This window comes from Homo sapiens, chromosome 18, assembly GCF_000001405.40.
Source record: "Homo sapiens chromosome 18, GRCh38.p14 Primary Assembly".
NCBI classification, from domain to species: domain Eukaryota; kingdom Metazoa; phylum Chordata; class Mammalia; order Primates; family Hominidae; genus Homo; species Homo sapiens.
In genome coordinates this window covers 21,647,926-21,670,380 of record NC_000018.10, presented here as the reverse complement: position 1 = coordinate 21,670,380, position 22,455 = coordinate 21,647,926, and the positions used below count along the sequence as shown (strand labels likewise).

The 22,455-nt window shown below is 42.1% G+C and overlaps 1 protein-coding gene across 8 annotated transcripts in view, besides 1 other annotated feature; it reads left to right on the top strand.

Annotated features, from left to right (window-relative positions):
- The window catches only part of ABHD3 (abhydrolase domain containing 3, phospholipase), a 53,874-nt gene extending 34,394 nt beyond the window's left edge, over positions 1 to 19,480 (top strand). The window contains exons 5-9 of one of the 8 annotated variants that reach the window (NM_138340.5): positions 6,151 to 6,263; positions 11,038 to 11,211; positions 13,229 to 13,277; positions 13,355 to 13,520; positions 18,618 to 19,480. In NM_138340.5, coding sequence (NP_612213.2) covers positions 6,151 to 6,263; positions 11,038 to 11,211; positions 13,229 to 13,277; positions 13,355 to 13,520; positions 18,618 to 18,790 — 675 coding nt within the window. In that variant the 3' untranslated portion in view covers positions 18,791 to 19,480. Of the gene's footprint in view, positions 1 to 6,150; positions 6,704 to 11,037; positions 11,212 to 13,228; positions 13,284 to 13,354; positions 13,521 to 15,297; positions 15,493 to 18,617 lie in introns of those variants that run through there. The other 7 variants (XM_017025574.2, XM_011525847.4, NM_001308257.2 and 4 more) reach the window with 7 other exon arrangements.
- Positions 18,706 to 18,906: a silencer, noted in NCBI's record as "peak3066 fragment used in MPRA reporter construct". NCBI's record gives its function as "represses an SCP1 promoter by STARR-seq MPRAs in K562 erythroleukemia cells {active_cell/tissue: K562}" and the evidence as "EXISTENCE:reporter gene assay evidence [ECO:0000049][PMID:32103011]".
- Positions 19,481 to 22,455: the final 2,975 nt, after the last annotated feature.

Sequence of the window (22,455 nt, the reverse complement as noted above, 5' to 3'; positions counted from 1 at the left end):
TTATCAAGAAAAACTGGGAGTTAACCAGTTTTGTGGCAGTCCAGGTGAGAGGCAAAAAGGCCTTGTAGCAAAGACAGCTGGTGCTACATCCTTACCCCCTTGGCACTTACCATTCCCACGTATGCCTTTTTGAGGGCTTCCTGCATCTCTGTGACTGGGGGCCTTCTCTAGCCATCGGAGCCTGCTGGAACTGCACTTAGGGCAGACCAGAAGTACCGGGGCGTTAACATCCTCCAGGATAGGCTTCAACCAGTGGCTAAAAGGGAATTGGTGGATAAATAGCTCATTTGCCACTCAGTGGGGATCATTGTAAGCCTTGTTCAACAGTCTCCCAGACTATCCCAAGGACTTGAGTCCCAGTTGCCCACAGCCATAAACTGCCTGGTATCATTTTCTTATTGACTTCCTGCCTTTCCTGACTCACTCTGCCACTCTCCCGCGGGTGCTTCCTGGTGTCGCCTTCCATATGAACTGCTGGCACTCACATCCTTGCTTCAGGGCCCCTTTTGAGAGAATCCAACTTACCAGCCCTGTACTCGAGAGGAGTTTCCTTTCACTGAGGAGGAAGAAGCTACAGGATTGGGCAGTTTATCAGCTGTGCAGTTAAGGGAGAGGGAGAATGCCATGTCGCCCACAATTTTAACTAGGAAAATATAAGTGCCATTTATAGGGAAATGGGAAGTTAGGAGAAGCGTTGGGAGTTTTCATGAAGAGGAAAATGGGTTAATCTTCGTGCATGTTGAGTCTGAAGTACTGGTAGAACATTACAGGGCAGCTGCCTGCTGGAACTTGGAAATTTGAATCTGGAGCTGAGGATGAAAGTGACAGTGGAGGTTTAGGTTCAGTCACTGGGGAGAGGTGATTGATGAAGATAGGGGAGTAGATAAGAGCTTCAAGAACTGGGTATTGACCAGAAAATAAGCAGATACAAGCCTAAGACAAAACTTTTGGGAATGAATACCTACCTGCATTTGGGGTTGGGGGAAAAGTGAGAGACTGGGTAGGAAATGGAAAGCTAGCAGAGCCGCCAGGGGAGGAGCTAGCAGGAGGCCGACTATGATGGAAAGGTTCTAGATTTGCTGAATCTCAGAGTTCTGGAAACTGTCGATCTTTACCATTGGATCATTATGTATTGAGGCATAAGGAGCTTTATATAGTTTATTTACTCATTTTGAGACAGAGTCTCAGTCTGTCACCAAGGCTGGAGTGCAGTGTCATGATCACAGCTCACTGCAGCCTCTACCTCCCAGTCTCAGGTGATCCTCCACCACACCTGGCTAATTTTGGGTGTGGGTTTTTTTTGTTGTTGTTGTTTTTTAATTTAGAGACAGGGGTCTTGCTGTGTTGCCCAGGGTGCTCTCAACTGCTGGGCTCAAGCGATTGGCCCACCTCAGCCTCCCGAGTACCTGGGACTACAGGCATATGCCACTACACCTGCCTAGCTTTACATATTTTAACATTTTAAGTGTCTATTGCAGTGTAGCACAGCTGGGGCTATACGGCTATACTATTATAAAAGAAAATAATATGTCAGATTGTATAGTGCTTTATCTAGAATGAAGGCAGTGCCAGAAATCCACACTCCTTCATTGGCAATATTATCAGTGTTGATCTTAATGCAATCTATTTGGAGAAAAACGTTTAGGGAAAAATCAGCCCCTATATCTGAGGGTACCAGATAATGATTTATTCACTGTATACCTCATGGAACCCTGGTGCTTTACAAGAATTAGGTTCTTATTACAAACATATAACGCAGGCTCTGCTACTTTGTGACCTTTGGCAAATTACTCAACCTTGCCAGGCCTTAATTTCCTTATGTGTAAATAAGGAACCAAGTGACATCTATGGTCCTTTTGACACAAAGATTCTGTGATCCTAGCAATTTTCCTTAGGGCATTTTTCTTATGCCCTAACTCTGTATGTGTCTATATGTATGCATTCTTACATATACACATATAGTTAAAGCCTATATAATAAGAATATATATTGGGGACTATTCATAAATAATTCAGAAATTTTAAAGCTGTGCAGTGTGAATAGACTCACCTGCAATAAAAATGCTGAGTAAGGATGATTTCATCACCCAGGTTCTCATGACAAATTCTGAAGTCACTATGAATGAGCATAGTAGAAGATATTTTCTTTTCTTTTTCTTTCTTTTTTTTTTTTTTTTTTTTGAGATAGATTCTTGCTTTGTTGCCCAGGGTGGAGTGCAGTGGTGTGATCTCGGCTCACTGCAAGCTCTGCCTCCTGGGTTCGTGCCATTCTCCTGCCTCAGCCTCCTGAGTAGCTGGGACTACACGTGCCTGCCACCACACCCGGCTAATTTTTGTATTTTTAGTAGAGATGGGGTTTCACCATGTTGGTCAGGCTGGTCTCGAACTCTTGACCTCAGGTGATCCACCAGCCTCAGCCTCCCAAAGTGTTGGAATTCCAGGAGTGAGCCACCACCCCTGGCCACTAGAAGATATTTTCTATTTAGATTTTACGTTGAATTTGTGCCCCCCGCCCCTTGTGATTGACGTGCATTCAATCAAAAAGTATTTTTTTTAAGTGTCGGAGCATAGTCAGTTAGTAGCTGTTAAGATGTTACAGGAGTTATTTAACCTCTCTAAATTCAGTTTCCTCATTTATAAAATAGATACACTGGGATCTTCCTCAGGGTTTTGTGGACACAAATTTAATGATCCAATAAATGTTAGCCATCGGAAATATTGTCAGGTTAACGTTTTTCTTTCAGAGAGTCATGTTTGCAGATTCCAAAAGATGCCAGTAGGGAATAGGCTGTGTTTTAGGGATGAGTTTAATTGAGGCAATTGTTAAAAATTATAATTTTCGGCTGGGCGCGGTGATTCACGCCTGTAATCCCAGCACTTTGGGAGGCTGAGGCGGGCGGATCACTTGAGGTCAGGAGTTCAAGACCAGCCTCAACATGGAGAAACCCCATCTCTACTAAAAATACAAAATTAGCCAGGCATAGTGGTGCAGGCCTGTAATCTCAGCTACTCGGGAGGCTGAGGCAGGAGAATTGTTTGAACCTGGGAGGCGGAGGTTGCGGTGAGCCGAGATCTCGCCATTGCACTCCAGCCTGGGCAACAGCAGGGAAACTCCGTCTCAAAAAAAAAAAAAAAAAAAAAAAAAAAGGGTGTGGTGGTGGGCGCCTGTAATCCCAGCTACATGGGAGGCTGAGGCAGGAGAATGGTGTGAACCCAGGAGGCAGAGCTTGCAGTCAGCCGAGATCGCACCACTGCACTCCAGCCTGGGCGACAGAGCGAGACTTGTCTCAAAAAAAAAAAAAAATGTAATTTTCTCAGGCTACTCATTAGTGATTGAACAGTGGGTGATACAAAACTTTCCTAGCATGATCATGGTTAATTGACATAGTGAAATTGGGTGGTGTAGATAACTAGTTTCCATGTTTTCTTAGAGTAATGTTACCAGATTCCTCTCCTTGTTATTAAATTTCTGGTTATTTTTTCGCACATATACTTAATTCTGACACACACACTCACATATATTCTACCGAGAGGATTGCCCCCTCCTCCCAGATCTCAAGTGAAGCATCCGTGATGCTTTTCTGCTATAAACAGAGCCCTTATTGATGACATTCACATGAAAACCATGTGTTTAAATGTGTTATATATTGAAGCATGGTCAACTTTACATATTTTAATATTTTAAGTGTCTACTGCAGTGTAGTACAGCTGAGGCTATCTGTATATACATACTATTAGAAAAGAAAATGTTTGGCCAGGCACAGTGGCTCACGCCTGTAATCCCAGCACTGTGGGAAACCAGGGCGGGTAGATCATTTGAGGTCAGGAGTCCCAGACCAGCCTGGCCAACATGGTGAAATCCTGTCTCTACTAAAAATTCAAAAAAAATAGGCCGGGCACGGTGGCTCACACCTGTAATCCTAGCACTTTGGGAGGCCAAGGCGGGCAGATCATGAGGTCAGGAGTTAGAGACCAGCCTGGCCAACATGGTGAAACCCCATCTCTACTAAAAATACAAAAATTAGCCAGGCGTGGTGGTACGTACCTGTAGTCCCAGCTACTCAGGAGACTGAGGCAGGAGAATCGCTTGAACCCGCGAGGCAGAGGTTGCAGTGAGCCAAGATCGCGCCACAGCACTCCATCCTGGCAACAGAGCGAGACTGTGTCTCAAAAATAAAATAAAATAAAGATTAGCTGGTGCACACCTGCAGTCCCAGCTACTCAGGAAGCTAAGGCAGGAGAATTGCTTGAACCCAGGAGGCAGAGGGGTACTAGTGAGCTGAGATTGTGCCACTGCACCCCAGCCTGGGCGACAGAGCAAGAATCCATCTCAAAAAAAATAAATAAAATAAAAATAAATTTAAAAATAAAAGAAAATATTCAGTTAATAAATTAGACCGTAGATTGCTTTATCTAGAGTGAAGACAGCACTAGGAAACCATACTCTTTCATTGGCAGACAGCACTCAAGGTGGAGAAAACAGTTCCCCAGTTAGAAATGAGCTACAATTTAAAATTTTGGGGATTTGGGGTACACTATTGAAAAGCCCCTTTTGCTTTTTTTTTTTTTTGAGATGGAGTCTCACTCTGTCACCCAGACTGGAGTGCAGTGGCGTGATCTCAGCTCACTGCAAGCTCCACCTCCCGGGTTCACGCCATTCTCCTGCCTCAGCCTCCTGAGTAGCTGGGACTACAGCGCCCACCACCACACCTGGCTAATTTTTTGTATTTTTAGTAGAGACAGGGTTTCGCTGTTTTAGCCAGGATCTCCATCTCCTGAGCTCATGATCCACCTGCCTTGGCCTCCCAAAGTGCTGGGATTACAGGTGTGAGCCACTGCGCCTGGCTGCTTGTTTGTTTTTTAATAAATAATGATTTTACTTGGGAGGCCAAGATGGGAGGATTACTTAAACTCAGGAATTTGAGACCAGCCTGGGCAGCATAGCAAGATCCTGTCTCTACAAAAAAATAAAAAATTTGCCAGGCATGGTGGTGCATGCCTATAGTCCCAGCTACTCAGGAGGCTGAAGCAGGAGGAGCACTTGAACAAGGAAGTCGAGGCTACAGTGAGCTGTGATCATACCATTGCACTCCAGCCTAGAAACAGAGCAGGACCATGTCTCAAAAAAATTTTTTTTGGCCAGACGTGGTGGCTCATACCTGTAATCCCAGCACTTTGTGAGGCTGAGGCAGGCGGATCACTTGAGGTCAGGGGTTCAAGATCAGCCTGGTCCACATGGTGAAACCCCATCTCTACTAAAAATGCAAAAATTAGCCGGGCATGGTGGTGGGTGTCTGTAATCCCAGCTACTCAGGGGAGTGAGGCAGGAAAATCATTTGAACCTGGGAGGCAGAGGTTGCAGTGAGCCGAGATCACATCACTGCACTCCAGCCTGGGCAACAGAGCAAAACTCCATCTCAAAAATAATAATATTTTTAAAGTTACTTTGGGCCAGGCACAGGCTCACACCTATAATCCCAACACGTTGGGGGGCCAAAGCAGGTGAATCACTGTAACCCAGGAGTTCAAGACCAACCTGGACAACATAGCAAGACCCCCCTGTCTCTACAAAACATTTTTTTAAAAATCTGTTTGTGGTGGCCTATACCTGTGGTTCCAGCTACTTGGGAGTTTAAGGTCAGAGGATTGCTTGAGCCTGGGAGGTCGAGGCTGCAGTGAGCTGTGATCATGCCACTGCAATCTAGCCTGAGTGACAGTGCAAGACTCTGTCTTTCCAAAACAAACAAAAAAAAAGGTTATTTTGTCTTTGAGGGTACAGGTTGTTTTTTGTTTAATAGAAAGCACAGTTCTCTGCTTTTTTTCCTAAACTGCTCTGGTTAAGTTGGAGACACGTTTGAGTATGGTACTTTGTTTAATTGAAGGTATTTGTATTGGTCTTGCCCCATCTGCATCAAGCCTTCCTTGCATGTTCATGGTCTTTTTGTTAGTGCCAACTCTAACTGTGCTGACTTTAAATGGCATGTATGTGCGCTGCAAGACAGGAAAATGATAAATTATTAATACTACAGTATGTGCAAACAAAGGTTATTTTCTCATATGTATGACTCCTTGCTCCTGTTTACATTTCTGCATTTTACAAATCATTAACCTCACATTGTAATTTTTGTGCTTTACTTGTCACTACTTCCAGACGCCAAGGACTTATTGTTGTGCTAACACTGAAGACTTGGAGACAGTTATTCACCATGTACACAGCCTGTACCCTTCTGCTCCTTTCCTGGCAGCAGGGGTTTCAATGGGAGGGTAAGGTTTTCCCTTTCTAAAATAATCTCTGAGAGGGAAGCTATTTTATTGGCTGTCTCTTTGAGAGGACTATAAGCTAGCTGTATGGACACTTTTTAAATAAATGTCTGATTATGTTTATCATATTTTATTAAATGCGGTTGATTGAATGAACGAAGGAAGGAAAGAATTAATTCAGGTGAATTTTAATATTTTTCTTAACTACGGGTCTCTGTGACTGCGGATTTTGTGAGCCTGAAGGTTTGTCTGAAGCCCATGAAGTCGATTGCATCACTCACCGGCTGCCATGTTGACCTTCTGATTCCTGACGCACTCCCAGCCATCCCTGGAGCTGCGTTCTGAAGCTGAACTTGTAGCATGACTTTCATCACTCCAGTTACAGAAATAATCACTTATTGCTCTCTCCAGCTGCAGTGGCCTTCAAAATTATTTTTCCCCAGGTGGTATTTTGTTTTGTTTTGTTTTGTTGCTGGGCAAATGGAACTACTGTGGAGTGCTCTCCTAGAAACTGAAATTTTGTTAACCCCCTACTCCAGCTGTTATTTTAAGCATACGGATATTGTCATTTGTGCTGCTTGCAATTACTTTGGGGCTTATTTGGAACTTTCCTATTTAGGCTTATTTCTACTAATTGTTTTTGGGGTTTTTTTTTTTGGTTGTTCTAGTGATGGTGAGCTTAAGGAAATCCAAAATTTTTATTATCGGGAATTTTACTAAGCTTTTAGATTCCTGAAGCCATTGTCCAAAACTAGTTTTTTAAATCAGCAAATACTGAAGATAGAAAATGATATTTTTTCATAATTTTATAATTGGTTTATCTGTCATTTCAGTTTTTAGAACATCTTGAACATGAATCACTTGAAAATGAATAGCATTTTTCTATAGCCAGTGGCTGTGAAAAAGAAAAAAAATTTTAATTTTTTTAAAAAGATAATGAACAGCATTTACAAATGATAGACTCTAAAAAACAGGCCTTTAACCACAGCTTTTTAGATTCTGATAAACATAAAACTAAGAAGAAAAGAATACATTTCTTCCATTAGCATGGAAGGTCTGACTTGACCTACTAAAGGAAGAAATCTCAATCAATGGAGAAAACCCACGCAGACTCTCTGAATTGTGCTTAATGGACGGAGTTTAGCGTCACTTTCCTTTCCCCCATAATGTGAACCTTAAAGGACTGGGTGAGAGCTGAACTTTTCCCTTAATCATATAAACGCATGGCTTTTCTAAAGGCCGGAGCTTACATACACAGGTTCAGATTCTCTATTCAATGCTCCTGGGAAATGTCTATTCGTGCCGCATTGAAGCCTCAGTGCCTGAAGGCAGAACTTGACCATTAGCCTTTACAGCTGGTTGAACATTAATGTCTTGTGAACTGTTAGACGGAAGCACCCCTTCTAGTTGCCTAGCACTGTGACACGATCCCAAGTGGGCTTACCACTTGGGGATGTGTTTTATATCTTGACACATTTTTTCTTATGGAGATGCAACACGCAAAAACAGTCCATGGACGATCCTTATGCCCAGTGCCCCATGGACTGGGGTAATCCCTGTGATAGAGCCTATGATGCCCCTGGGGCCAAGTGCCAGCAACTCATGGATCATCTCGTTTCATCAGTGTCACCCCCTCCCCTCTCTCTCCCAACTCTGATTATTGTGTACCAAATCTCAGACATCACTTATAAATAGTTGGTATCTCTAAAAGGTGGGCCAGGTGTGGTGACTTACGCCTGTAATCCCAGCACTTTGAGAGGCTGAGGCAGGCAGACAACCTGAGGTCAGGAGTCCGAGACCAGCCTGGCTAACATGGTGAAACCCCCCATCTCTATTAAAAATGCAGAAATTAGCCGGGCATGATGGTGCATGCTTGTAATCCCAACACGCTGGGAGGCCAAGGCGGGCAGATCATCTGAAGTCAGGAGTTCAAGACCAGCCTGGCCAACATGGTGAAACCCCCATCTCTACTAAAAATACAAAAATTAGCTGGACATGGTGACGCATGCCTGTAATCTCAGCTACTCAAGAGGCTGAGGCAGGAGAATCACTTGAACCCAGAAGGTGGAGGTTGCCATGAGCTGAGATCGCACCAGTGCACTCCAGCCTGGGCAATAGAGCGAGACTCCGTCTCACACACACAAAAAAAGGCCAGGCGCGGTGGCTCACACCTATAATCCCAGCACTTTGGGAGGCCAAGGCAGGCAGATCACCTGAGTTCGGGAGTTCGAGACCAGCCTGACCAATGTGGAGAAACCCCGTCTCTACTAAAAATGCAAAATTAGCTGGGCATGGTGGTGCATGCCTGTAATCCCAGCTACTCAGGAGGCTGAGGCAGGAGAACTTCTTGAACCCAGGAGGCAGAGGTTGCGGTGAGCCTACGTTGTGCTATTGCACTCCAGCCTGGGCAACAAGAGCAAAACTCCATCTCAAAAAAAAAAACAGTGGAGTTTATGTTTTGTGGGTTTTTTTGTTTGTTTGTTTTCTTTTGAGATGGAGTCTCCCATTGTCACCTGGACTGGAGTGCAGTGGTGCGATCTCAGCTCACTGCAACCTTTGCCTCCTGGGTTCAAGTGATTCTCCTGCTTCAGCCTCACGAGTAGCTAGGATTACGGGCGCCCACCACCATGTCCAGCTAATATTTGTATTTTTAGTAGAGAGGGGGTTTTGCTATGTTGGCCTGGCTCAAACTCCTGACCTCATGATCTGCCTGCCTCAGCCTCCCAAAGTGCTGGGATTACAGGCATGAGCCACTGCGCCCGGCTGGAGTTTATCTTAAAAAACAAGCAACAAAAAAACAAAACCATATTACTGTTATTACACCTGAATAAAATTAACACTAATTTCAAACTATCATACAGTATTCAGTAAGTGTTCACATTTCCCAAATAGTCTTGTTTGCTTGTTTGGTTTTAGTTTAGTTAGAAGCCAGGAAAAGTCTATACATTGAGATTGGTATGCTTTTTAAGTCTCTTAATCCAGGGGTTATTTCTCTTTTTTTTTTTTTTTTTTTTTTTTAGCTTGTAGTTTTTTTCTTTTGGTGAGAAAATAGGGTCCTTTTCCTATAGAAGTAAAACAGTCTTTTTGGGGATAACATCTTAGCATCATTTTGCTGCTGAGTAATAACCAAGACGTATTCCACCTGCTTGGTCATATCTACTTCTGAATCTTCCTAGTCCTGAGTTTCCCTTCAAGGCCTTCTAATTTGTGCATTTTACCAGCCTCCCAACAATATCTGACCTCCCATCAAAGAGTAGGGCCACCAAAACTAGGACTCTAGAATGAACCCTTTGCAGAAGAGTAAGCATTGTCCTATATATGGTTTGGTGAATCACAATACTGTATACAGATAGTTCAGTTGTTATGAAGGATCATTTTCAAAAGCTAAATGTCCACTTTCCATCTAAAACTTCATCATATTCACCCCAGCAAGTCATTTGAACTGGAAAAAAGAATGAGGGGGAATTTTAAGCCATTTCTCCTATTTCAAAACATGGACAATTGAAGAAATCAAGTACAAAAAATATAATGAGAAACAATTAGGATATCATCCTGTTACTAGGCAGCATTAAACTTTAGATTTTCAACATTGTGTATGTAGATTAGACATGATTATGGTCTCTCTTACCAAAATAGAATTAGCATAGAATCAAGAAAATTAGTAGAACAAAAAGAACAGAAGAAAATATGTGTTAGGAAATAAGGACAAATAACAGGAATAGAAAGAGAAAACAAGTTACTTTAGGGGTCAGCTGTTCTACCACAACTCAGAAAGTCTAGACTAGAGAGCAATTTAGAAACTTGCCACAGGGTGCAAGGATCCTTGGCAGCTAGGGTAGTGATCCAGACCAGTTAACTCACAATCTCTCAGGGTAAGACCTAGACATCAGTAGTCATTTACAAACTCCTCAGGAGCTAGAGACCAGCCTGAGCAACATAGTGAGACCTCATCTCTACAAAAAAAAAAAAAAAATTTTTTTTTTTTTTTTTAATTAGCTGTGTTTGATGGCGGACACGTGTAGTCCCAGATACTGGGGAGGGTAAGGTGGGAGGATCACTTCAGCCCAGGAGATCAAGGCTGCCCTAAGGTGTGATTGTGTCACTGCACTCCAACCTGGGCTACAGAGCCTATCTCAAAAAAAAAAAAAAAAAAAAAAAGGCCGGGTGCAACGGCTGTAATCTCAGCACTTTGGGAGGCCAAGGTGGGCAGGTCACTTGAGGTCAGGAATTCAAAACCAGCCTGGTCAACACAATGAAACCCCGTCTCCACTAAAAATACAAAAAATTACCGGGGCGTGGTGATGCATGCCTGTAATCCCAGCTACGCGGGAGGCTGAGGCAGGATAATCGCTTGAACCAGGGGGGTGGAGGTTGCAGTGAGCCGAGATCGCACCACTGCACTCCAGGCTGGGTGACAGAGCAAGACTCTGTCTCAAACACACACACACAAAAAAAAAAAACTCTAGGTGATTCCAGCATGCAGTCACATCTAAAAACCACTCTTAGGGTGGATTTCTCTTATGTTTGACTTCATAGGATACATATATAAGGAATAACTATGATTTGTCCCATTTACCACATAGTTGACTGCAAGACAAATAAATATATGAATATAAGGAAAGAATGAAGATGCTTGCATGCTTTTCCAGGATAGAGGACTTAAACACTAGTTTATATTTTTCTTCTCCATAGTTAACATAAAGTCTGTAGTTAGAAATGGATGTCTTCTGTGATACAACAAATTAATCACTGAGTTTCCTGTTTCTCCCCATTTTAGAATGCTGCTTCTAAATTACTTGGGCAAAATTGGGTCCAAAACGCCTTTGATGGCAGCTGCAACTTTTTCCGTTGGTTGGAACACCTTCGCTTGCTCAGAGTCATTGGAAAAACCACTGAACTGGCTACTTTTTAATTACTATTTGACAACCTGCCTTCAGTCTTCAGTTAATAAGTGAGTCATCTTTAAAATCTGTTGTCTCCAGGGCCGGGCCCGGTGGCTCACGCCTGTAATCCCAGCACTTTGGGAGGCTGAGGCGGGGGGATCACGAGGTCAGGAGATCGAGACCATCCTGGCCAACATGGTGAAACCCCGTCTCTACCAAAAATACAAAAAAATTAGCTGGCCGTGGTGATGTGTGCCTGTAGTCCCAGCTACTTAGGAGGCTGAGGCAGGAGAATTGCTTGAACCCAGGAGGCGGAGGTTGCAGTAAGCCGAGATCGTGCCACTGCACTCCAGCCCGGGTGACAGAGCAAGACTCCGTCTCAAAAAAAAAAAAAAAAAACTATTGTCTCCAAATGATTACATGCCCCAACAGTAAAAAAATTTAAAGCGTAATACTACCAATATATGTATATGTGTTTATACACTGAATAAATTTACTACTGTACCAAAATATTATCTTTGTTGTAAATGCATATAAATAAAAAATGTAAGTATAAGTTAAAATTTAAGCATAAGTTAAAAATATAGCTAAAAGTTGTAATGTTTTCCTTCTGAACCCCAGTGGATTGTCTTGTACAACCCCTGAAGTATGTGCCCCATTTTTAGTGAAGGTACACTATTGAAGGTTACTATTCTAATCACCATTCTAAATTATTCTAAAAGACTAAAAATGTTAGTATGGAATGTGTTAAGTGGTGTGATGGGCTGTTTCCCTGGATTTTCTACTTGTTGCTAATCTTAGTAATACCTAAGTCTTTCCTGGATAGTAATGTAGTAAGTACTTTCATTGCTGAATAATACAGCTCCTTGAGGGTGTGCTTATGAGCATAGTATGTTTTAGAGACAGGAGAATGCAGTTCACTTAGATAATCTCAGCCCTCACAGCTCTTATACTACCAAAATACTATCTTTGCATTAGTTTTCTCTGGAATTGTTTGTGTATTTTCTTTTTTTCTTTTTCTTTCTCTCCCTCTTTTTTTTTAAGACTGGGTCTCTCTCTATTGCCCAGGCTTGAGTGCAGTGGTGTGATCATGGCTCACTGCAGCCTCAGCCTCCTAGGCTCAAGTGATCCTCCCATCTCAGCCTCTCAAGTAGCTGGGACTACAGGCACATACCACCACACCTGGCTAATATTTTATGTTTTGCAGAGATGAGGTTTTGCCATGTTGCCCAGGCTGGTCTCTAACTCCTGAACTCAAGCAATCCATCCACCTCAGCCTCCCAAAGTGCTAGGACTACAGACGTGAGCCCCCCGCCCAGCAGAGATATTTCTGTTTGCTTATTTCTTTCTTTAATTTTTTTTATTTTTAATTTCTGTGGGTACATAGTAGGTGTATATATTTATGAGGTACATGAGATATTTTGATACAGGCACGCAATGCTATAATCTTTATTTTTTTATGACTGTTACGTACTTTTAAGTGAATTGATGAATATAAACTTTAAAAGTACTGTTGATTTGCACATGACTTACTGAAAACCTTAGTTATCCTGGAAGTTGACATTAAACACTGGATTAGATTTTACCAGGCCAGGCAAGGTGGCTCATGCTTATAATCCCAGCACTTTGGGAGGCCGAGGAGGGTGGATCACTTGAGCCCAGGAGTTTGAGACCAGCCTGGGTGACATGGCAAAACCCCATCTCTACCAAAAGAAAAAAAAAACCCACAAAATTGGTGGGGTGTGGTGGTGCACACCTGTAGTCCCAGCTACTCTGGGGCTGAAGTGGGAGAATCACTAAAGCCCAGCAGGCTGAAGGTGCAGTGAGCCGTGATCATGCCACTACACTCCAGCCTGGGCGACAAAGCAAGACTCTGTCTCAAAAAAAAAAAAAAAAGTACTTGAAGAAAATATCTTCAGCACAAACATTATTATTCTAATCCTGCCGTACCTGATTAAGCAAATATTTATTGAGTGCCAACTTTGTGCCCTGTGGTAGGCTGTTTAGTAATTTGTTTTTAAGTCCTTTTAGTATGATGGAGTAGGAATGATCTTGATTTTTACTTCCGAAATTCTTTTGTTCCAGGCACCGACATATGTTTGTAAAACAAGTTGATATGGATCATGTCATGAAGGTAGGAGAGAAACTTTATGTAATACTTTTATTTCTTCTTTTGGGCAAGACTAGATATAATTTGTTTTTGTGTTTCAGGCTAAATCCATCAGAGAGTTTGATAAGCGATTCACTTCAGTCATGTTTGGATACCAAACAATTGATGATTATTATACTGATGCCAGTCCGAGTCCTAGACTGAAGTCAGTAGGAATTCCAGTATTGTGTCTAAATTCTGTGGATGATGTTTTCTCACCCAGTCATGGTAAAATTAACATATTTGTATATATTTTGACATGAATCAACTTTTAATATATTGTTATTTTTAAGGAAATATAGTAATAAGAAAATGTGTCATTTCCATTATGATAAAAAAACTAGATACTCATAACACAGTATCTAAATGTCTCAAATCACTTAAATATTTTCACAGACCCTTATCTAGTCCATTGTGAGAGGCTCAGAACAAATTATGACTCACTGTTTTGCTCATTCTCATTTTTATAACCTTTCCTTCTTACCAAATACACTGTTCTTTGGACAGATTATGTTACAGTCCTTTTGCCTCAGGAGAATATTGTTATCACTTGCCTCTTCTTCCTGAGATTCCTATAAAGAAGAATTTGAAGTTTTTCTTCCCTTTTAATCTGGAAGAGAACTTGAGACTTTATAAACACAGTGGCTTTGAATATCTCAATTAGTGAAGCATATTTGGACTAGAAGGTCATATTTAAAGAGAAACATCCTTTCCTTTTCCCTGGAATACTGTATAAAAGAAAATTAATTAGCTGGGCATGGTGGTGTGTGCCTGTAGTCCCAGATACTTGGGAGGCTGAGGTGGGAGAATCACTTGAGCCCAGAAGTTTGAGGCTGCAATGAGCTATGATCATGCCACTACACTCCAGCCTGAATAGCAGAGTGAGACCCTGTCTCTTAAAAAAAAAGAAAATTATTCAGAAATAAACTTTCCTGCTTTCTTTTTCGCTCTGTCGCCCAGGCTGGAGTGCAAAGGCACGATCTCGGCTCACTGCAACCTCCGCCTCCCGGGTTCAAGCAATTCTCCCTCCTCAGCCTCCCAAGTAGCTGGGATTACAGGCACCCGCCATCATGCCTGGCTAATTTTTGTATTTTTGTAGAGATGGGGTTTCACCATATTGGCCAGGCTGGTCTCAAACTCCTGACCTCAGGTAATTCGCCTGCCTGGTTCCCCCAAAGTGTTGGGATTACAGGCGTGAGCCACCACACCCAGCCTAAACTTTACTGCTTTCCTTTTTTTTGTTTGTTTTTTTGTTTTTTGAGATGGAGTCTCACTCTGCCACCCAGGCTGGAGTGCAAAGACACGATCTCGGCTCACGCCTCCCGAGTTCAAGCAATTCTCCTGCCTCAGCTTCCCAAGTAGCTGGGATTACAGGTGCCCGCCACCATGCCTGGCTAATTTTTGTATTTTTAGTAGAGATAGGGTTTCACCATGTTGGCCAGGCTGCTCTTGAACTCCTGACCTCAGGCGATCCGCCTGCCTCAGCCTCCCAGACTGCTGGCATTATAGGCATGAGCCACCACACCCCGCCAACTTTCCTGCTTTCTTAAGTCAAGAAATATGAAATTTGATAACAAAGATAAGGAGCAGCCTGGCCCACGCAATGAAATTCCACCTCTATTAAAAATACAAAAATTAGCTGGGCATGGTGGCATGTGCCTGTAATCCCAGCTACTTGGGAGGCTGAGGCAGGAGAATTGCTTGAACCAGGAGGCGGAGGTTGCAGTGAGCTGAGATCGTGCCACTGCACTCCAGCCTGGGTGACAGAGTGAGACTCTATCTTGGAAAAAAAAAAAAAAAAAAACTTTTTCTCTCTTTCCCCTCAATGCATTAAAACCATTTTCCCCAAATACTTCATTTAAAAAATGATTCTGACTATAAACATAACACATATGTTGTGAAATTTTCAGAAAATCCCCAGTGTGTGTATATATATATATTTTTAAATTACCTATCATTTCTCTAGGAGATCCTATTTTATTGTGTGATTTATGTTTAATCACAGGTAATCTTAGAAGCTGAAACTTACAGCCTTGACCACAATTTAGAAAATGAAACTCTGAACTTTAATATCAGTTGACTTACATGGTGATTGTTTTAGCATATTTTCATTGGATTAAGGAAGTCCAGTATTTCTCTACCCGTTTTTATATTTCACTGCCCTTTTTACCAATAAAAAGTTCCCAACATTTTAACCTTACCCACTTGGGTGAAGTTTGAACTCATTATTTCCTATTCTTTCCCAAGCCTTTAAAATAGTCTTGCCGCAATGAAATAGTGGACAATTGTCTGCAGTCTGAGAGAACAGGCAGCCAGCATCTTTCACATGCCTCAAATGTGGCCCAGCCTTTTGTTCTTCTGATATGACTGTAACTCTCTGTTAGAAATTTCTGAATGTATCCAGAGTGTGAAGTTTAGGCTCTTGATAATTCCTTTAGAGGCAAATGAAACACTCTAAATGTTTGGTGAAAAAGGAAAAGCAAAAATAGTATCAGCCATTCCCCCTTAAGTTCCCACACCTGATCCCAAGATAGATGTTCACTTTTAGGTGTTCTTTCTTGGGACGGACGTGGCTAGCTAAGGACGTGAACTCAGGACCACTTTTTGATAAGAACTTAGCTTGTTGAGCCTTGCTTTAGGGCTATCGGTTTATTCTTTAGAGTGTTATGAAGGGTCAAATTTAGAGCACTGTCTAAACAGTCAATTTGTGGAAGGGCCCCAGTTCTCTTACAGTGAATTTTAGCTTCCTTTTTCTTACAAGGGGGTGAGGTAGAGAAGCTGTTACCTTTAATTAGCTCATTTGCCCCTAAAACTCAGCCCAAGTTGTGAAGTTGTAATTATTGCATCAATCACATTATATATATATATTTGGAGACAGGATCTTGCTCTGTTGCCCAGACTGGAGTCCACTGATACTACCATAGTTTACTGCAGTCAGGCCGAGCGAAGTGGCTCACGCCTGTAATCCCAGCAGTTTGGGAGGCCGAGGTGGGTGGATCACCTGAAGTCAGGAGTTCAAGACCAGCCTGACCAACATGGTGAAACCCCATCTCTACTAAAAAAAAAAAATACAAAATTAGCTGGCCGTGGTGGGACACACCTGTGATCCCAGCTACTCAGGAGGCTGAGGCAGGAGAATTGCTTGAACCCCGGAGACAGAGGTTGCAGTAAGCCAGCCGAGATCACACCATTGCACTCCAGCCTGGGCAACAACAGTGAAATTCCATCTCAAAAAAAAAAAAAAAGTTTACTGCAGCCTTAAACTCCTGGGCTCAAGCTGTCCTCCCACCTCAGCCTCAGCTAGGACTACAAGTGCATGCCACCACACAAGGCTTTTTTTTTTTTTTTTTTAACATTTTTTGTAAAGACACGGTCAGTCTCGCTATGCTGCCCAGGCTAGTCTCAAACTCCTAGCCTCAAGAGATCCCCCCAAAGTGCTGAGATTACAAGCATGAGCTACCACACTGGCCTCAACCATGTTATCTTAATTAGGGAGATAAGATTTGGCAGTATCTGAAATCAAAACACTTCTCATGCCAGGTTTTGATCCATTAGAGACCTTATATCAAAACATTTTCACTGACCTCTAAGCATGGGAGAAAAAAAAAACTTTAATTCATATCTTTTAAAGGTTATACTCAGGCCAGACAGGTAGCATACGCCTGTAATCCCAGTGCTTTGGGAGGCTGAGGCAGGCAAATCACTTGAGGTCAGGAGTTCTAGACCAGCCTGGCCAACATTGTGAAACCCCGTCTCTACTAAAAATACAAAAATTAGCTCTGTCACCAGGCTGGAGTGCAGTGGTGCGATAGTTCACTGCAGCCTTGGCCTCCCAAGTAGCTGGGATTACAGGCGTGCACCACCATGCCTGGCTATTTTTTGTATTTTTAGTAGAGATGGGGTTTCACCATGTTGGCCAGGCCGTTCTTGAACTCCTGACATCATGATCCACCTGCCTCTGCCTCCCAAAGCACTGGGATTACAGGCGTGAGCCACCACACCCAGCTCTTTTTTTTTTTTTTTTTTTTTTTTTTTTGAGATGGAGTCTTGCTCTGTCGCCCAGGCTGGAGTGCAGTGGCATGATCTTGGCTCACTGCAGCCTCTGCCTCCCGGGTTCAAGCAATGCTCCTGCCTCAGCCTCCCCAGGAGCTGGGATTACAGGTGTGCGCCACCACGCCCAGCCAATTTTTGTATTTTTAGTAGAGATGGGGTTTCACCACGTTGGCCAGGATGGTCTTGATCTCCTAACCTGGTCATCCACCTGCCTCAGCCTCCCAAAGTGCTGGGATGACAGGCGTGAGCTCTTTCTTTTTTTTAGTTGGAGTCTTGTTCTGTTGCCAGGCTAGAGTACAAAGGTGTGATCTCGGCTCACTGCAATCTCCGCCTCCCGGGTTCAAGCGATTCTCCTGCCTCAGCCTCCCAAGTAGCTGGGACTACAGGCACGTGCCACCACGCCCATCCAATTTTTGTATTTTTAGTAGAGACGTGGTTTCACCATGTTGGCCAGGATGGTCTCGATCTCTTGACCTCGTGATCCACCTGCCTCAACTTCCCAAAGTGCTGGGATTACAGGCATGAGCCACCACACCTGGCCTCTCTCTTTCTTTCTTTTTTCTTTCTCTCTTTCCTTTGTTTTCATTCTCGTTCTTTCTCTTTTTCTTTTTCTTCTTTTTGTCTTTCTCTTTCTTTCGTTCTTTATTTTTCTTTGCTTTCTTCTTGTCTTCCTTTCTTTCTTCTTCCTGTCCTTTCTTTTCTTTCTTTCAAGATGGGGTCTCACTATGTTGCCCAGGCTGGTGTCGAACTCCTGAGCTCAAGTGATCCTCTCACTTCGGCCTCCCAAAGTGCTAGGATTACAAGCATGAGCCACCATGCCCAGCCACATCATGTAAAGTTAATCAAAATAATACCTAATGAATTTCTAACTCTCACAAAGATGCTAAGCTTAGTTTTTTCCCCTGCCCTAACACTTCAGTGGGAATTTTATAGCCTATTATGAGGATTCACCATTCCTTGAATTGTCTTACTTTAATTTCTCAAAGTAAGACTTGATGTATACTTTTGTGTTATGAAGAACAATCTTGGATTGATTCTTCCCAAAATGATTGTGCAGACATGACCATATATATGAACTGTTGTAAGAATATAGTTGATATAAGGTAGACTCATTCCATTTAACTATGCTCATTACATATATTTATATAATGGTGTTTTGATTTCTGTTTATTAGACATGATAAAGGTATATGCTTTTCCTGACAAAAACATAATGATTATATTTTTCTCTCTCCTTCTTCTCTCTTATTGCCATGTTTTTTTTGGTCTGAAGCTATTCCAATAGAAACTGCTAAGCAAAATCCTAATGTTGCTTTGGTCCTTACTTCTTATGGAGGCCATATTGGTTTTCTGGAGGGAATCTGGCCAAGACAGTCCACTTACATGGATCGTGTCTTCAAGCAATTTGTGCAAGCCATGGTTGAGCATGGACATGAACTCTCTTAACATGTAGTTCTTTGGGTGCATTTTGTCTGAACCACAATTGTGAAGGCAGCTCAGCTTAGTGCACAAATTTTAACTGTTGTATATAAAGCAAATAAGCCAGCAGATGGGTGAAGAGGTCCAGAATGATATGCAAAAACTACTTTTTAGAGAAACAAAACAACTTTGTAGCAACAAATTAAATATAGTATTAGATTGTTACTTACGTAGATTTTATTTTTACTATGCCTTACCAAGTACATCCTTAAACAAAGTAGTATGTACATGAAATTGCACTTAACCAAAACTATTGTGTAAAACAAATTTTAATTCCTCAGGGTTTTAATTTAAACTAGTATTTTTTTAGATTATTTGTTTTAGGTGATTTAATGGTACTTTAATAACTACTAAGAAATATTGGCTATTTCAATGTAAGTTATAAGGTGGTACATTCCTAAGGGTATTTATAGTTGATGATAACATGAAAACTGAAATAAGATAAAATACAACGTGCTAAATCTTTTATGTATTCTAACTTTAAAAGACAAGTGCAACAAAGTTAGACTGACTTCTATATGTGCTCTTTTACTCTGATAATATTAAATTAGGACTAACTTATGTTTTATAATGATTATAATTTACATGCTTATTTTTAAAATAGTATATGTGGACACATATATATCATTATATTAAAATAAATTCTACCATTTTAAATTGGTCCTTTGTGAGTTTTTATCTGCTAAAAGGGCCCAGAAAGTAATCCCTAGAAAGTAATTTATGATAATTTTATTAATGCATTAGTAAGAAACATTAATACTGTTTTGCTTTACTGTTTCCAGAATATTGAGCTCACACCACTTGTACCAATTAAGAATACTTTCAGCTGCAGGAAACCTAACAGTGCCTTAAGGAAAAATTATATCTCATTAACTTGTATTATAAGAATTCTGGTGGGCAGGCCAGAGCTGGTGCAGAGGCTTACCAATGTCATCAAAGACCCAGGCTGTTTCTATTCCATCCTTATCACGGTGGCTAGTTATCTCCTAAACACAGGATGGCTGCTGCAGTTCCAGATGACACATTTGTGTTCAAAGAATGAAAAGGGAAGAGTGGAGCCAGACACATCTCCCCTTTTAGGAAAGTGAAAGCTTTCCCAGAAGACTTGCACTTACATCCATTAGCTAGACCCCTGTCACATGGCCATCCAGGTGGAGTGAGAGACTGGGAAAGCAAGTAATTTGTCAGTTACATACTTTATCAATCATAGTGAAGGCAGGCAAGGGAAAGGGGATTGGCAATGGTTATTGGGCTAGCCAGCTAATAATAATAATTTTCACATTATTCAACATCTTTTCCCTCCTCGTTACTTCAGCCTGTTTATAAAATACATATTTTTTTCCTCAGGTAACACGTTGAGAGAACCATGTACAAAAAATATATATTAACATAAAATTATTTACTAAAAATGCCACCATTTGGAGAACTCCTGAAGATGTACTTGTAGACTCCCTCAATACTGTATCTAAGATGATAGCAATAATAATACCAGTGCTTTTTTGTCTGTACAAAATATATTCTGATTCAATCATAATAATTACATTAGGTCTGTATGGATGAGGGGGCTGATCCTGCCATGGATGCTGGCTGGCCTGAATCTTTTTTTTTTTTTTTTTTTTTGAGACGGAGTCTCGCTGTCGCCCAGGTTGGAGTGCAGTGGTGCGATCTCGGCTCACTGCAGGCTCCGCCCCCCGGGGTTCACGCCATTCTCCTGCCTCAGCCTCCCGAGTAGCTGGGACTACAGGCGCCCGCCTCCTCGCCTGGCTAATTTTTTGTATTTTTAGTAGAGACGGGGTTTCACCGTGTTAGCCAGGATGGTCTCAATCTCCTGACCTCGTGATCCGCCCGCCTCGGCCTCCCAAAGTGCTGAGATTACAGGGGTGAGCCACCGCGCCCGGCCCTGAATCATATTTTTTAACTTCTTTTCTTTTTATGAGATGGAGTCTCACTCTTGTCACCCAGGCTGGAGTGCAATGGCGCGATCTCGGCTCGCTGCAACTTTCGCTTCCTGGGTTCCGGCAGTTCTCCTGCCTCAGCCTCTGGAGTAGCTGGGATTGCAGGCGCCCACCACCACACCTGGCTAATTTTTGTATTTTTAATAGAGACAGGGTTTCACCATGTTGGCCAGGCTGGTCTTGAACTCCTGACTTCGTGATCCGCCCGCCTCGGCCTCCCAAAGTGCTGGGATTACAGGTGTGAGCCACTACACCCGACCTTAACTTCCTTATTGAGATGTAATTCACATATAATAAAATTCACCCATTTAAAGTACACAATTTGGAGCTAGAGCAGTGAGCATGCACCTGTGGTCCCTGCTACTCGCTACTCGGGAGACTGAGAAAGGAAGATCACTTGAGCCCAGGAGTTCGAGGCTGCAGTGAGCTATGATCACACCTTTAAACATCTGCCGCACTCCAGCCTGAGCAACACAGCAAGGCCCCATCTCTAAAAAAAATTAAAGGGCATAATTCAGTGGCGTTTGTTCACAGAGTTATGCAGCCATCACCATAATCTAACTTTAGAACATTTCATCACCCTGAAAAAAAGACCCTCTACCCCTTTTAGAAGAAGTCACTAATCCCTCAGCCCTAGACGACTGCTAATCTCTGTGTCTATAGATTTGCCTGTTCTGGGCTGTTTTACGTATATGGAGTAAAACAATGTATGCTATTTTGTGACTGGCTTCTTTCACTTAGCATAATGTTTTAAAAGTTCATCCATATGTGGCATGTACCAGTTCTTGATGTTCCTTTTTTTTTTTTTTTTTTTGAAACGGAGTCTCGCTCTGTCACCCAGGCTGGAGTGCAGTGGCACAATCTCGGCTCACTGCAACCTCCGCCTCCTTAGTTCAAGCCATTCTCCTGCCTCAGCCTCCCGAGTAGCTGGGACTACAGGCACACGCCCCCACGCCCGGCAAATTTTTGTATATTTAGTAGAGACGGGGTTTCACCATGGTGGCCAGGATGGTCTCGATCTCTTGACTTTGTGATCTGCCCGCCTTAACCTCCCAAAGTGCTGGGATTACAGGTGTGAGCCACGGCGCCCAGCCTGATGTTCCTTTTATGGATGCATAGTATTCTACTGTGCAGATAGAGATCAAATTTTGTTCATCAGTTGATGGACATTTAGGTTATTTCTTTTTGCTATTATGAATAATGCTGCAATGAACATTTGTGTAGTTTTTGTGTGGGCATATTTTTCATTTCTCTTGGGTATATACCTGGTCATATGGTAATTCTACACTTTTTGAGGAACTACCAGGCTTTCCCAAAGCAGCTGTACCATTTTACATTCCAACCAGCAATGTACATGGGTTCTAATTTCTCCACATCCTCACCAACACTAATTGTATGTTTTATTTATTATAAACATCCTAGTGAATCTGAATTATAAGTTTTAACCATGATATTCTACCAAGACCAAAATATGAACTAGCACTGTAATGTTTAAAGATTTAAAGATAACCACTAGTGTAAAACAAAAATAAAACACAACTCTACATGCATGTAATTATGTACTTGTTATTTATAATGAGATGAATATTTTCAAGTACTGATTCTTGTATATCGAGGATTATTCTCCCCAGCTGTTTCTTCACACACTAGCAAGCTCTGAGAAAGAAAGGCTGTGTT